At 39.2% G+C, this 14,574-nt stretch overlaps 1 annotated feature.

Annotated features, from left to right (window-relative positions):
* Positions 225-404: a silencer, noted in NCBI's record as "silent region_14772". NCBI's record gives its function as "represses an Ori minimal core promoter by ATAC-STARR-seq in GM12878 lymphoblastoid cells {active_cell/tissue: GM12878}" and the evidence as "EXISTENCE:reporter gene assay evidence [ECO:0000049][PMID:35858748]".

The raw sequence follows: 14,574 nt of genomic DNA on the forward strand, positions 1-14,574 counted from the left end.
AGTGTGATATAACCAGTAGATCTTGTGATCACAGGCCTGCTCCTATACCTCCTTCCCTGGAAAGTGGGCCCCCTGGTCTGATGTGATGTGCAAATGGGTCATATTTTCTGTAAGTTCTCAGATGGAGGTGCTGTCAGGAAAGGCAAACCCATATGTAAAATATGTGTCCATTTCTGTCCAAACACATTTCTGGCCCTTCCTTAATGCAAAAGGACAGATATAGTCAACTTCCCACTTCCTGGCTGCCTGGTCCCCTCAAGGAATGGTGTCATGTCTGGGGCTTAGCATTGGTCTCTGTTGCTGGAAGGTTGGCCACTTGGTGGCAGCAATAGCTCGATCAGCCTCTACGGGTGGAAGCCCATGCTGCTGGGCCCAGGCAGAGCCTTCATCTCTGCCACTGTGGTGACTTTGTTATTGTGCCACTTGTCAGCACTAGAGTAGGCATTTAAGATTTTCAGAAGCATCAACTCAGATGACTCTGTCACATGTGCCCCATTCTTTCCCAATCAGAGCTCTGGCCTGGGCATAGCAGACCTACTTTGGTTGGGAATTCAATCTTTGGAGCTGGTCTGCTCTGATGATTAGATCCTAGGCTTGGTCCTTAGTCTCCTTGCCCTCCCACTGCAGAGATGAGCCCTTCTTTGTGTGCTGCTAAAGAAGCCCCCCTGGCTTTCACACTTGGCTTTCAATGACCTGCTAATCACTCAGCCATTTGTTAATTTTTTTCTAGAGCTGTGATAGAGCTTATATCTCTATATACTAGTTTCCCCTGATTTTTCAAATGCTTGATATGTTCTACCACTTAGTGCATTTGCCTTTGCAGTTTCAGCTATAAAATAGAAACCTTGCGCTAGATGTCTATCTCTACTTGGACCATATCTCACTCCCTTTACCTTTTTACTCCCTCTTGCCTGGAATGCTGTCATCATGCTTGAGGCCAAGCAACCTGTGACAAGGTAGTCACAAGCACACAGGACATGACTAAGCAGCAAGACAAAGAAATCATCCCAGATAGCAATGTGGAGCAACGGTACCACTCTAGACAACCAACCTTTGATCTTACCATTATACAACAAAAATGAAACCAGCTGAAGCCACTAGATTTTTTATTTCTGTTTCAAAAAAATGTAACTCATCTTAACTGTGTTGATTATCAAAATATTATACTAAGCATTTTTTAAATTTAGATGAAATTAACAAGTTCATGAGAATCACTTGCCAAATTAATTAGTACTGGCTTATGAAGAGAAATTTAATCTGTGGTTTAAAATTTTCTCATAGCACACCCAGAAATCCTAGATTTTAACCATCAAGTTTCATCAACCACTTATGGAACAGATCATTGCAAATGTACGTATATTTTTCCAGAAAACAGAAAATAATGGTACACTCTTTAATCATTTTTTGATTATTATATCTTGATTGCAAAAGCAGGAACAAGAAGGCAGTATGAAAAATTGCAGGCCAATCTCATTCATGAACTTGATAGGCTCAAAGCAAAAGGAATTTATTGATGGCATTTTTAAAAATATAATAAATTTATAATTAAATTGGGTTAATCCCAGTAATACAAGGTTAGTTAACATTTAAAAAATTATCAGTGTAAATTTTTCACATCAGCAGATTAGTGAAGAAAAACCACATGATTCTCACAGGTGTGGAAAAAGCATTTAGTGAAATGTTATATTCATTCGAGATAAAACTCTTTGCAAACTAGAAATGGAAGGGGAATTATTTAACCAGATAGAAAATATCTTCAATAAACCTATAGAAAACATCATACTTAAAGTGACATATTATAGTAGTTTCTTCAAAATCAAGAACAAATCAAGAACGTCTGCTTTTATCACTTTTATTCAATATCATAATTAGGGTCCTAGCCAGAAACAATTAAGAAGGAAGAAATGAAGCTGTTATGATCATCAATATGGAAAACAGAAAATAATCCATAGGTAAATTATTAGAATTAATATATGTTTAACAACATTGCAGGATATATAGAAAACACTGTATTTTATAGTAGGCAAGAAACAAAATATAAATTTTAAATAATGCCTTTTTTATAAAAGCAACCATGAAAAATCATATAGCTGAACATAAAGCTCAGAAAATATAGGAAGAAAATGTGGAAAAAATTATAACTCTTTTGGAAAACTTTTGAAGAAGTCCCAAATAAATGGATAGGAATTGTTATGGTTAGAAAACCTTGGTATTATAATGATGCCAATTGTGTCTAATAGACCTATTGGTTCTACAAAATTGAAGCTCAATAGCTTTTTTCTTAGAATTTGTTAAAATAATTCCAAAATGTACATGGTAGAACAAAGAACCAGCATAGCCTAGATGCTTCCAAAGAAGAAGAATAGGATACAGTAACATTATTATTATAAAGTTAGAGTAACTAAGACAGTATGGTTTGGGTACAGGGATATAAACTAGAATAATGAAACAGAAGACAGAGCCTAGAAACAGAGACACACCTATGAAGAAACGTGACCATGTCAGAGACAACATTGCAAATCAGTGAGAGATGGATCGACCATCCAACAAAATGGTGCTGTTTCAAAGTTATCCATATGAAAAAATATAGAATTAAATATTCATATCCAATTGGTGGATACCTCATGCTATACTAAAAGAAGCCATTTCGGATGAATTAGACTTAAATGTGAGAAGCTAAACTTTTACAACTGTAAGAAGAAGAAAATATAGGAGAAAGTCTACAAATGAGTGAGAGAAAGGGTTTTCTTAAGCAAGATATTCAAAGTGCTTTAAAAAGATATTAAAAATGATTGATAAGTGAGCCTATGTTAAACTTCAAAACTTTTTTTTCTCAAAGTACTCCAAAAAGAATGAAAAGATAATTCAAAAACTGGAAAAATATATTTTCCACACAGATGACTGATGAGGGATAGAAATAGAATATATAAAGAATATCTATGAATCAATCAGTTAAAGACACTCCAGTAAAAACCTGGCCAAAAGTCATAAGTATTTCACAGGAGAATAAAACCTGATATGTAATAAACATGTTAAAAATGGTCATGTTAATAGTATGATAATTAGGAAACTGCAAATTAAAATCATAATGAGATGTCATGTTGCAACTATCAAAAAGGCAAAATGTAATAAATCAGACAATATCAAATGGATATGAACAAAGAAATGTTTATGTACTCTACTTGGGAGTGTTAAGTGGTATCAGCATTTTGGGAAAAAATTTGTACTATATTCTAAAGTTGAAAATACTTATAACATATAAACTGGCACTTTCACTCCTAGGCCTATAATTCCCCAGATAAATCCTGACTCCTGTGTTCTAGGAGTCACACAGCATGTTCATAGCAGCCTGGTGGCAATAGCAAAACACTGAAAGCATTCTGCGAGTCCATGGACAGGAGTATGCGGAAACACGTCACATAACGAACTATATCATCAATGTGGCTCAGTCTCAGGAACTTAATTTTGAATAAGAAAAACAAGTCACAGAAGTATACCGATAGCATGATTCTGTTGAAGTTAAGTATAAAATCTGGCAAAACGCAACAAAATATGTTTAGGCAAACATATATCCATGTCAAAATGATAAAGAAAACCAAGGGAATAATAAACACAAAATTCTAGATGATGGTTACCTTTGTCAGAAGAAAATATTTTTCCTATCACTGCATAACAAATTACTCTGATACTCAGTAACTTAAAGCAACAGGTATTTATCATCTCATAGTTTCTATGGATCACGAATCTGGGTTTTCCATCTCCGAAAGAGACTCTTACAGGTTGCAAGGTGTCACCTGGGGCTGCAGGCAACTCAAGACTCTACTGGAAAGAAACCACTTCTAGGTGCCCTCACGTGATTGTTGGCAGGATTCAGTTCCTCGTGAGCTGTTGGACTGAATTCTCAGATCCTTGATAGCTTTTGGCCAAAGCCCACACTCAGTTTTGTGCCATGGCACTGGCTTTATTAGAGTGGGTGAGCGATGGAGCAAGAGGCAGGCCAGAAAGAAGCCAGAGTCTTTTATAACCTAATCTCAGAATGACAACCTGTTGCTTTTGCCGTATTCTATTCATTACAAACAAGTTACTAGGGCCAGCCCACACTCAAGGGGATGGAATTACCCAAGAGTATTCCAGGAGGCAGGAATTACTGAGAGCCCTTTTAGAAGCTGCCTACCTCATATCTATCTGTGTGTGTGTGTGTGTGTGTGTGTGTGTGTGTGTGTGTGTGTGTGTGTTTCTGTATTAAATCTTCCGTAGCAACAAAACCTCCTCAGTAGCTCTCTGGGAACTTCAGGATCAAAAAAGCAGGTAACCCCATGCTAAGAGGCTCAGTTCCGTGACCTGGCCCTGTTTTCTCTTCCTTCCTCCCCTGTCTTTCCTATCAGACAATTGATTTAAGTTTCCCAAATAAGTAAGGCTGTTAAGCCTCCAAGCACTTTTCCATGCTGCACTCCACCTAAAGTGTCCTCACTTACCTTCTCCACTCATCTGGTGAACAAGCATCCCATCTCCCAGAAAGCCTTCTCTGCCCCTGCTCCTCATCTTCCCCCACCCTCAGGCCTGTGCTGGGTTCTGCTGATCTCATGGTAGCTTGGGTATTCGCTCCCTTCCACTCTGGGCTCTTGAAGAGTAGGGCCCTGCCTCCCTGGTACCAGGCCCAGAGCCGGGCACATAAACCACTGTCAGTGAAACTGTGCTGACTGAATGATGGGACATTGATACTTCTGCAGCAAAGCATATGCGTAGTCATAGCAAGGGAGTAAATCGAGGCCATAAAGAGCCTTATGGCAGTTCAGGTGGGGCTTTGTTGCCAAAGAAGTTATTTTAAAAACTCAGTTTTCAGAGCTTTTGACCTTTAGAATTTTAGATAAGGGATTGTGGTTGCTTGAAATATCCAGCATTATTGTAAGGCTTTTTTAAGTTAGACTTTTTATTTTGTGAAAAACATTTAAACCCACAAAAAGCTTCTAGTGTATTGCACTTAATTTCCATATATCCTTCATTTCTTCCATTTTTATTTATTTATTATTTGACACATAATAATTGTACATGTTTGTGGAGTACAGAGTAATATTTTGATACATGTATGCAATATGTAATGATCAATTCAGGGTAATTAGCATATCCATCACCTCAAACACTTATCATTGTGTTAGGAACACTAAAATCCTCTCTTCAAGCTGTTTGAAAACATGCTATAAATATTGTTCACTGTAATCCCCCTACAGCACTGTAGAACATTATAACTTATTCCTCCTAACTAGCTGTACTTTTGGATCCATTAGGGAACCTCTTCCTCTCCACCCACCCCGCTACCCTTCCCAGCCTCTAGTAACCAGTATTCTACACTCTACTTCTATGAGTACAACTGTTTTAGTTCCCACATATGAATGAGAACATGAGATCTCTGTCTTCCTGTGCCTGACTTATTTCACTTAACATGTCTTCTAGGCTCATCCATGTTTGCCATGAATTACAGGATTTCATTCCTTTTTATGGATGAATGGTATTCCATTATATATATACACCACATTTTCTTTTTCTGTTCATTTGTTACTGGACACCTAGGTTGATTCCATATTGTAGCTATTGTGAATGGTGCTGCAATAACCATGGGGTTACAGATATCTCTTTGATATGCTGATTTCCTTTCCTTTGGTTAAATACCAAGTAGTGGGATTGTGGGATCATATAGTAGCTCTATTTTTAGTTTTGTGAGGAACCTCCATACTGTTTTTCACAATGGCCATATGAATTTATATTTCAACCTGTAGTGAATAGTTCCCTTTTCTCCACACCCTCACCAGCATTTGTTGTTTTTTCGTCTTTTTGATAATAGTCATTCTACCAGGGATAAGATGATATCTCACTGTGGGTTTTATGTGTATTTCCCTGATGATTAGTGACGTCGACCATTTTTTCATATACATTTTGGCCATTTGTATGTCTTCTTTTGAGAAATGATCTGATGTCTATTCAGATCATTTGCCCATTTTTAAACCAGATTATTTGTTTTTTGCTATTGAGTTGTTTGAGTTATTTGTATATCCTGAATATCAATCCTTTGTTCAATGAATAGTTTGTAAATATCTTCTCCCATTCTGCAGATTGTCTCTTCACTCTGTTGATTGTTCCCTTTGCAGTGTAGAAACTTTTATTTTGAGATGGAGTCTTGCTGTGTCACCCAGGCTGGAGTGCATTGCCATGATCTCGGCTCACTACAACCTCTGCCTGCCGGGTTCAAGCAATTCTCCTGCCTCAGCCTCCTGAGTAGCTGGGATTACAGGCACACAGGCTATTTTTTTTTTTTTTTTTTTTTTTTTTAGTAGAGATGAGGTTTTGCCATGTTGGCCAGGATTGTCTCGAACTCCTGACCTCAGGTGATTCACCTGCCTCAGCCTCCTGAAGTGCTGTGATTACAGGCTTGAGCCACTGTTCCCAGCTAGAAACTTTAAAATTTTCCATAATCTTATTTGTCTGTGTTTGTTTTTGTTGCCTGTGCTTCTGAAGTCTTATCCATAAAATCCTTAGATCATAAAATCCTGAAGCATTTCCCCTATGTTTTCTTCTAGTAGATTTATAGCTTAAGGTCTTACATTTGTCTTCAATCCTAATGAGTGGATGTTTGTATATAGTTAGAGATAGGAGTCCAGTTTCATTCTTCTGCCTGTGGGTATCCAGTCCAGCACCATTCACTGAAGAGGGTGTCATATTCCCACTGTATTTTCTCAGTGCCTTTGTTGAAAGCAGTTGACTGTAAATACATGAATATATTTCTGGGTTGTCTATTCTGTTTCATTGGTCTATGTGTCTGGTTTTATTTCTAGTACCATACCGTTTTGGTTACTATAGTTTTATAGCATTTTTTTAATGTCAGGTAGTGTGATGCCTCCAGCTTTGTTCTTTTTGCTCAGGATTTATTTGACTATTCAAGGTCTTTTGTGGTTCCATACAAATTTTAGAATTTTTTTTTCTATTTCTGTGACAAATGCCATTGGTATTTTGATAGGGATTACATTGAATGTGTAGAATGCATTGGGTAGCACAGTCATTTTAACATTATTCTTCCAATTCATGAATATGGGATATAGTTTCTTTTTCGTGTGTCTTCTTCAATTTTTTCATCAGTGTTTTATAGTTTTATGGTAGTGTTCTTTCACTTCCTTGGTAAAATTTATTCCTAGGCATTTTATTTTTGTAGCTATTACAAATGAGATTGCTGTCTTGATTTTCTCCTCAGCTAATTCATTATTGGTGTATAGAAATGCTACTGATTTTTGTATGCTGATTTGTATCCTACAACTTTACTGTATTTGTTTATCAGTTCCAAGAGTTTCTTAGTGGTGTCTTTAGGTTTTTCTGTATATAAGATCATGTTGTCTGCACACAGGAATAATTTGAATTCCTCTTTTCCAATTGGGTTGCTCTTTATTTCTCTGTCTTACCTAAGTTGCTCTGACTAGGACTTTCAATACTATGTTGAATAAGAATAATAAGTAGGCATTCTTATCCTGTGCCAGTTATCAAAGACAAAGCTTTCAAGTTTTCCCTATTTAGTAAGATGTTAGCTGTGCGTTTGTCACACCTGGCCTTCCTTTTGTTGAGGCATGTTCCTTCTATACCTAATTTGTTGAAAGTTTTTATCATAAAGGGATGTTGGATTTCATCAAATGCTTTTTCCATGCCTATTGAGATGATTATGTGGTTTTTATCCTTCATTCTGTTAATGTGATGTATCACATTTAGTGATTTGTTTATTTTAAACCATTCTTGCATCCCTGAGATAAATCCCACTTGGATGAGAATTGTCATGGTGCATATACCCTTCATTTACTGTTAACTTGTTAACATCTTGGAATGTTTGCTTTCTCGTGTGTGTGTGTGTGTGTGTGTGTGTGTGTGTGTGTGTGTGTGTTATACAGACTAATGATTCCCCAAAGATGTCTGCATCTTTATCTCTGGAGCCTATGAGTATATTTTGTTACATGGCAAGAAAGAATTAAGATTACAGATGAAATTAAGGTTTCTAATCAGCTGACTTTAAGATAATGACAGTACACTGGATTATTCAGGTCGACCCAATGCAATCACAAAGGGCCTTATAAACAAGGAAAATGGAGGCAGGAGAGTCAGAACCAGGGAGATAGCATTGTGAGAAAGACTCAACCAGCCATTACTTGTTTTAAAGATGAAAAGGGGCCAAGAGCCAGGGAATGCAGGCAACTTCTAGAAGCTGGAAAAGGCAAGAAAACAGATTATCTCCTCAAGCCTCCAGAAAGGAATGCAGGTTGGCTGACTCCTTGATTTTAGCCCAGTGAGACCCATTTTGGATTTCTGACTTCCATAACTGTTAAATAATAAATTTGTGCTACTTAAAGCCCTAAGTTTCTGGTAACTTGTTAAAGCAACAATCAGAAGCTAATATAGTGTGCATACTATTTACATATCCTCATTCAATTTTTTGTTTTAATTCCTTTTTTTCAGTTAAAAGTAAATTGCAGAGATTAAGAACATTCTCTTATATAACTATAGTCCAATGACCAAATATGGGGAAATTAACATTTATGCATTGCTGCTATCTAATGTACAGTGCATATTCAAGTGATTCTCCCAAAAAGATTCAGTTCAGAATCACAGGCTGCATTTAGTTATCACGTCTGTTTAGTCTCCTTCAATCCAGAGCTATTCTCAGTTTCACTTTGAAGACACTAATCCTTTTGAAAGTACAGATCAATTATTTTGTAGAATGACCTGTAATTTGGGTTTGTCTTATTTTATCTTTATGATGAGATTGAGGTTATGCACCTTAGGGAAGGAATACCACAGAAGGGATGTTGTGTGGCTGCAAGGTTAATTCTATTCCTGAAACAATTAGAAAATAATTACAAATGCAACCCAATTTTCAACTTAGGTGAGAAATAATTTAGAAAAAAATCCACCCTGACAATTTTCCCAATCGAAACCTATTTCTAGTTGAAAAGATTTTAGAAACAGAGTTGACTTGAGACTTAAATAGAAATAAGGTGTCGCGCCCCTTCAGAAGCCTAGGGGGTGTCCAGCAGCTGCTGTGGGGCATGGAGCCACTGTCTGGATGTCCACAGTGGTTCTTCCCCTCTGAGCTGAGGAGCAGGCACTGAGAACCTTCAGAACCTGGAGACAGCATCCACCCACAGAGGAGTGTCCCTGAACATCTGTTAGATTAACGTTTTATCAAAATGCACAAGATGCCCAAGAGCCTGATAGATGACAACCATTAAAACACAGAGAGAAATAAAGAATGGTTTCATAGTCTTCTGTGATGATAAAGGGCAAATTAAATATGGTTTGAATAAACTCATTTGCCATTAGGTACTTGCCCTTTAACAGACTATTTAGTACTGTTGTATATATACAAGTTTGTGCTGCATATTAATACTTTTGTGATTGAATGGTATAATTTAGCTAGAATGAGATTATGAAGTTGAAAACAGCAGCTGGGTGCTCCCAGACTCCCTACTTCATAGAAGAATAGTCTGTAAAACGTTGACATTGTTTCTTTAAAACAATTTGATTCTGATTCTAATTGCAGTTGTGATAAATGCTCTCTTTTTAATCTCCCTCTAGCCCCCCTCCACTTTTTTGGGATGGGATTTCATGCTGACTTGAGTGGGCACGAGAGCAAATGCTTTGCTATGTCATGCAGGAAATCAAGGATTTAAAATAATATTGTGTTTATTGGTGCAATTTCCTCTCTGTTCCTGGAGGGCTTTACTTTAAAGCAGGTGGGAAGAGGGGAAGAGCCCAGGCCTGCAGTAGGCCTGTTCCAGCACTTCCCTTAGTCCTCACTCATTGAGAAACTATTCTCAGGCTGGGAAGCACAGAATACAGTCATTGGTTTTCTTGTTTATTCGTTTATTCATATTCAGCATATGTTTACGGAATTATAGTGAAATCATGGCAGAGCTTCATGGAATTTAGAACTTCCTTCAACAGTTCTTCATTGTGTATAGTGAAAGACCATTAAAATTGTGCTCACAGTTATATCTGTGGGAGAGACAGAGCTGAGAGGAGAAAGAGCTCCTCTCTAAAGGCCCCTGCAAGTAGAGTTTCCATTTACGATTGCGCCCCTGGAGTTTCAGATTTGGGAACTGAGACAAATTCTAAGGGCAGAAAGTCCAGCTCTTTGTGCCACGCAAAGATTTATGTTAAGGCTGGGTGTGGTGGCTTATGCCTATAGTCCCAGTACTTTGGGAAGGTGAGGCAGGAGGGTCACTTGACACCAGGAGTTCCAGACCAGCCTGGGCAACATAGTGAGACCTCGTCTCTACAAAAATTTAAAAAAATTAGCTGGGCATGGTGGTGTGTGCCTGTAGTCCCACCTACTTAGGAGGCTGAGATGGGAAGAACACTTGAGCTCAGGAGTTTGAGAGTACAGTGAGCTATGATCACGCTCCTGCACTCCAGCCTGAGTGACAGAATGAGACCCTGTCTCAAAAAAAAAAAAAATGCCCAGTGGGGCAGTGAACACCATGTCCTGTGTGAAACAGTGGAGGAAGGCAAGGTTATACAAACAAGTGGTTACCAAAGGGTATCATAAAATCACTACGGTTTCCTAGTTCAGACAGATCTAGGTTCAAATCCTGAGGCTAGCACGTGCTTGGGAACTTGAGCAAGTCATCTTCTCTTATTTTTCCCATCTGTAAGATGGCAATTATAATGACCAATACGGTTGCTTTGGCCATTAAATTTGATGAGCACCTGTGAGAAGGTTTGGTACACAGTAGGAGGCTGGTAAGTACAGGGTCCTTCATGCCACCCCACCCCAATCCCCTCCCCAGCTGGAGGAAAGCAATCAATTGCACTTTCATTTAAACCCTTTAGCTGCCTGATGTATGCTTAGAGAAAATTTTGCCAGCCTTAGTCTTTTCCTCTTCCAAAAAAAAAAAAAAGAAAAAAATGAGCATTGAGAAAAGAAAGAATATATATATATTCTCATATATATATATGAGAAACTTTGTCAGTAAGTCAGGTGTTCATCTGTATGAAGGAAAGAAATCACAGTGTAAATTCACCTTGCCTCAAGTTCCGCAAAGCTAAAGTCAAACCATAATTTGGGAGGTGAGAATAAATTGGTCAATTTTTGGTAGAAGAAATATAGATTTTTCACATTGATTCCTCTCATGCCATTGCTCTTAGGAACTCCCATAATAAATTCCTTCTTGCGGCTGAATACCAGCCGTGTGTGTTCTGTGGGACCATGTGCCTAAAGGGAGTCCCTGCTTATCCAGCTTGCATTTTGGGCTGAGTGGTTGTTAGCAGAAGAGTGACACAGAGGCATTTCATCTTTACTCTTATGATACTAGCAAAACATCGTTAGATTATAAATTCATATTATCCAGGGATTCGTTACCCCAGCCCAAGTTAATTGGCATGGCAAGTGTCTTATGAGAAAAATCTGCAGCGTTAGCTAAGTGTTTCTATATGAAACAGAGACAGTTGTGTAGATGGTTAGATGTCCTTACTCTTTGTTACTTCTCTTAGAGACTGAGAATTCAATTGTTGAGGTGCTCAGGGTGCAACTGTTTCAGCATCAGTAATTTCCAGTGTCTTCTGCTTCTTCATCTGGCAAATGGAGACAATAATACCCATCCCCTAGAGTTGTTCCTGAGATCCAGAAGGAGCATGAAAGAGAAGGCACTCTCGTTGTGATGATTTTGCTCTCATTCTGGAAGCTGCAGAGGAGACGTCTGCATTTCAGAGAGATGCGCTGTGCCAGCGATTCTCAGCAAGAACAGGACTGTGCACGAGGGGGCGCTCGGGAGGCTTGAGCGGTGCTTTCCGCCTTCAGGCTGATAGGAGAGGAGGACACTTGGTGGGTGTGGATGGGGGTTGCTGGCAGCCCTGCAAAGTGTGGGACAACTCCATACAACACAGCTGTCATGAACCTCACATGAATTCTTAGTATTCTACCAGAAACTGACGTAGTGAACCACCTGCTCATAACTACTTGATCCTAGAACTCTGTTTTATAAATAAACAGAAGTATTTTTGGGTGGTTTCAATATACAGTGTTTCCTAGAAATGCATCTACTGTGTAAATCAAGGCAAAATTCGTTTGATTGAAACTTTGCCGAGAGTTGTTTGCCATTTCAGACAGCCACAACACCAGTGACACTACCACTCCTGTATCTGAGTCACAAATAACCCCCCTGGTTATCAGCCTGCATTTGAAGCTGCTTTGCTCACAGTGAGTTTACCTGTAAGTATTGGCATCTGACTGCTTCATCGTATCTGCTGCTGAAATTGTGCCCGAGCACCTATATATTAAACTACATATTATTACAAATCACTTTCCTTTTATTTCTCCTTTATATTGGAATTAGGACATTATATTGATTGGGATATATTACATGTACATTTTTTTCAAGATGATAAAGGAGGCCTTGCAAAATATTTGTTATACAAAGGGAAGTTTGATCAGGAAGGCTGAAACCTTCTGAACTAGGAGATCACTGAAGTTCCAGAATTCTGCATCATGTCTGATTTGGATGCTGTGGTTTATATCGATTTAAATTAGGTTCATCTGCCTGGAACAAAATACCCAAGTAAGAGGCTTAAACATGACAGAAGTCTGTTTCTCTTTCTCAGAAATGAAGTACAAAGATAGGCATTTGGGGCCGGCATGTCAATTCTAATGGTCATCCATCAGGGACCCAGCCTCCTTCTCCGTTCCTATTCCCTTATCCTTAATGCCAGGCTTCCATTTTCAAGGCTGTTGCATGATCCAAGATGATATTGGAGCTCCAGTCATCATGGCCACAGTTAAAGCAGGAAGCTAGGAATGGGAGGAAGGCAATAGGGTGCCCCGCCACTATCTGTTCCCTTATAAGGAGCTTACTCAGAAGTCCCATGCCACAACTTCTACTCATGTCACATTTGCCACCCCTAACTGCAAGATAACTTGGGAAATGTAGTTTTCAAGCTGAGCACATTGTTCTCCATTATAAAATCAGAATTCTATAATAAGAAAGGAAGGGAGAAAGGATATTAGGGTGGCATTTACCAATTTCAGTTGGGGCTGCTGCTAGTGTTGTTGATATGCAAGTACCTCCCTCCCCAGGCTTAGGGAGCCCATTGTCATGAAAAGAACAAAGGCTATGAAGCCCAAAAGACCTGGGTCACATTATAACCCTTCCATTTACTTATTATTAATATATGGTGACCTTAGCCAAGTGACTGAGCCTGTTTGAGCCTCATTTTCCTCAGCTGTACAATGGAGATACAAGTAGTACCTACCTTCTAGGGTCATGATGAGGTTTAAATAAGAAATTGTAAAAGCCCTTAGTGGCCGGGCGCGGTGGCTCACGCTTGTAATCCCAGCACTTTGGGAGGCCGAGGCGGGCGGATCACGAGGTCAGGAGATCGAGACCATCCTGGCTAACACGGTGAAACCCCGTCTCTACTAAAAATACAAAAAAATTAGACGGGCGTGATGGCGGGCGCCTGTAATCCCAGCTACTCGGGAGGCTGAGGCAGGAGAATGGCGTGAACCCGGGAGGCGGAGCTTTCAGTGAGCCGAGATTGCGCCACTGCACTCCCGCCTGGGCCACAGAGCGAGACTTCCTCTCAAAAAAAAAAAAAAAGCCCTTAGTAACCATTAGCCTCTCCTCCCACTCCACTCCTCCCATGTCACTCCCCCTTCCATTACACAGTTCACAATAGCACTGTCCAGTGCTCTGTGAGGAAGCCCAGCACACTTTGTTGCAGATATCAGCTGGATGAGCAGAGAGAGCAGGTCTGCAGGAAAACACCAGCCTCACACCTGTCAGCTCTTGGCCAGTTGCTCTCCGGGAAGGATGAGAAGACAGCTGGCCTTAGTTTTTCTGGGCTTTTCTCCATGGTCCTTTCCGGCAGGGCCAGCCAGAGGCCAAAATCTTGAACATAGTGAAGTCGCTTTGCAGCATCTGCCTCCCCTGGCTGCACCAGGAAAGATCTGACCAGTGATTTTTGAACTTCTCGTCTGCTTCATTTCCAGAGAGGAAGTGCTTTTGAAATGACTTTGTTCATGTAAGCACCATTTACCACCAAAAGGAACCAGGACTCCTTGGAGAAATGATTGATTCCAGGGCTGGGGCAGGATACGTACAAGATATGCCTAAGACATCCTGTGCCAGCGAGCAGGAAAGCTCTCAGGACTTCCAGGCTATGCCAGAAGGATATAGAGTCCAACTTGAAGGAGCTTTCAGTGGCCAAAGATGAGACAATTTGAGCATCAAAAAGAATAATAATTATAGTGTACTGAAATATCATACATATTAGAAATCCTCTTTAAATGATACTCAAAAACTTATTTTTTTGGCGAATAAATTTATTTATTTGTTTTTATTTTTAAAATGGACATATTATAATTGAACATATTATGGGGTACATAGTGATGTTTTGATCTACAAAATATATAGTGATCAGATCAGGGTGTATTGTGAGTTTCTCGGTTTGTTTTGTTTTGTTTTGTTTTAATTTACAGGGAATAAGTCATTATTCTGAAAAAAAGGTAAATAAAAGAAAATAACCAAGCATTAACCCTGCCTTTACTGG

The sequence above is a fragment of the Homo sapiens genome, chromosome 3, assembly GCF_000001405.40.
Source record: "Homo sapiens chromosome 3, GRCh38.p14 Primary Assembly".
In the NCBI taxonomy this organism is placed as follows: Eukaryota; Metazoa; Chordata; class Mammalia; order Primates; family Hominidae; genus Homo; species Homo sapiens.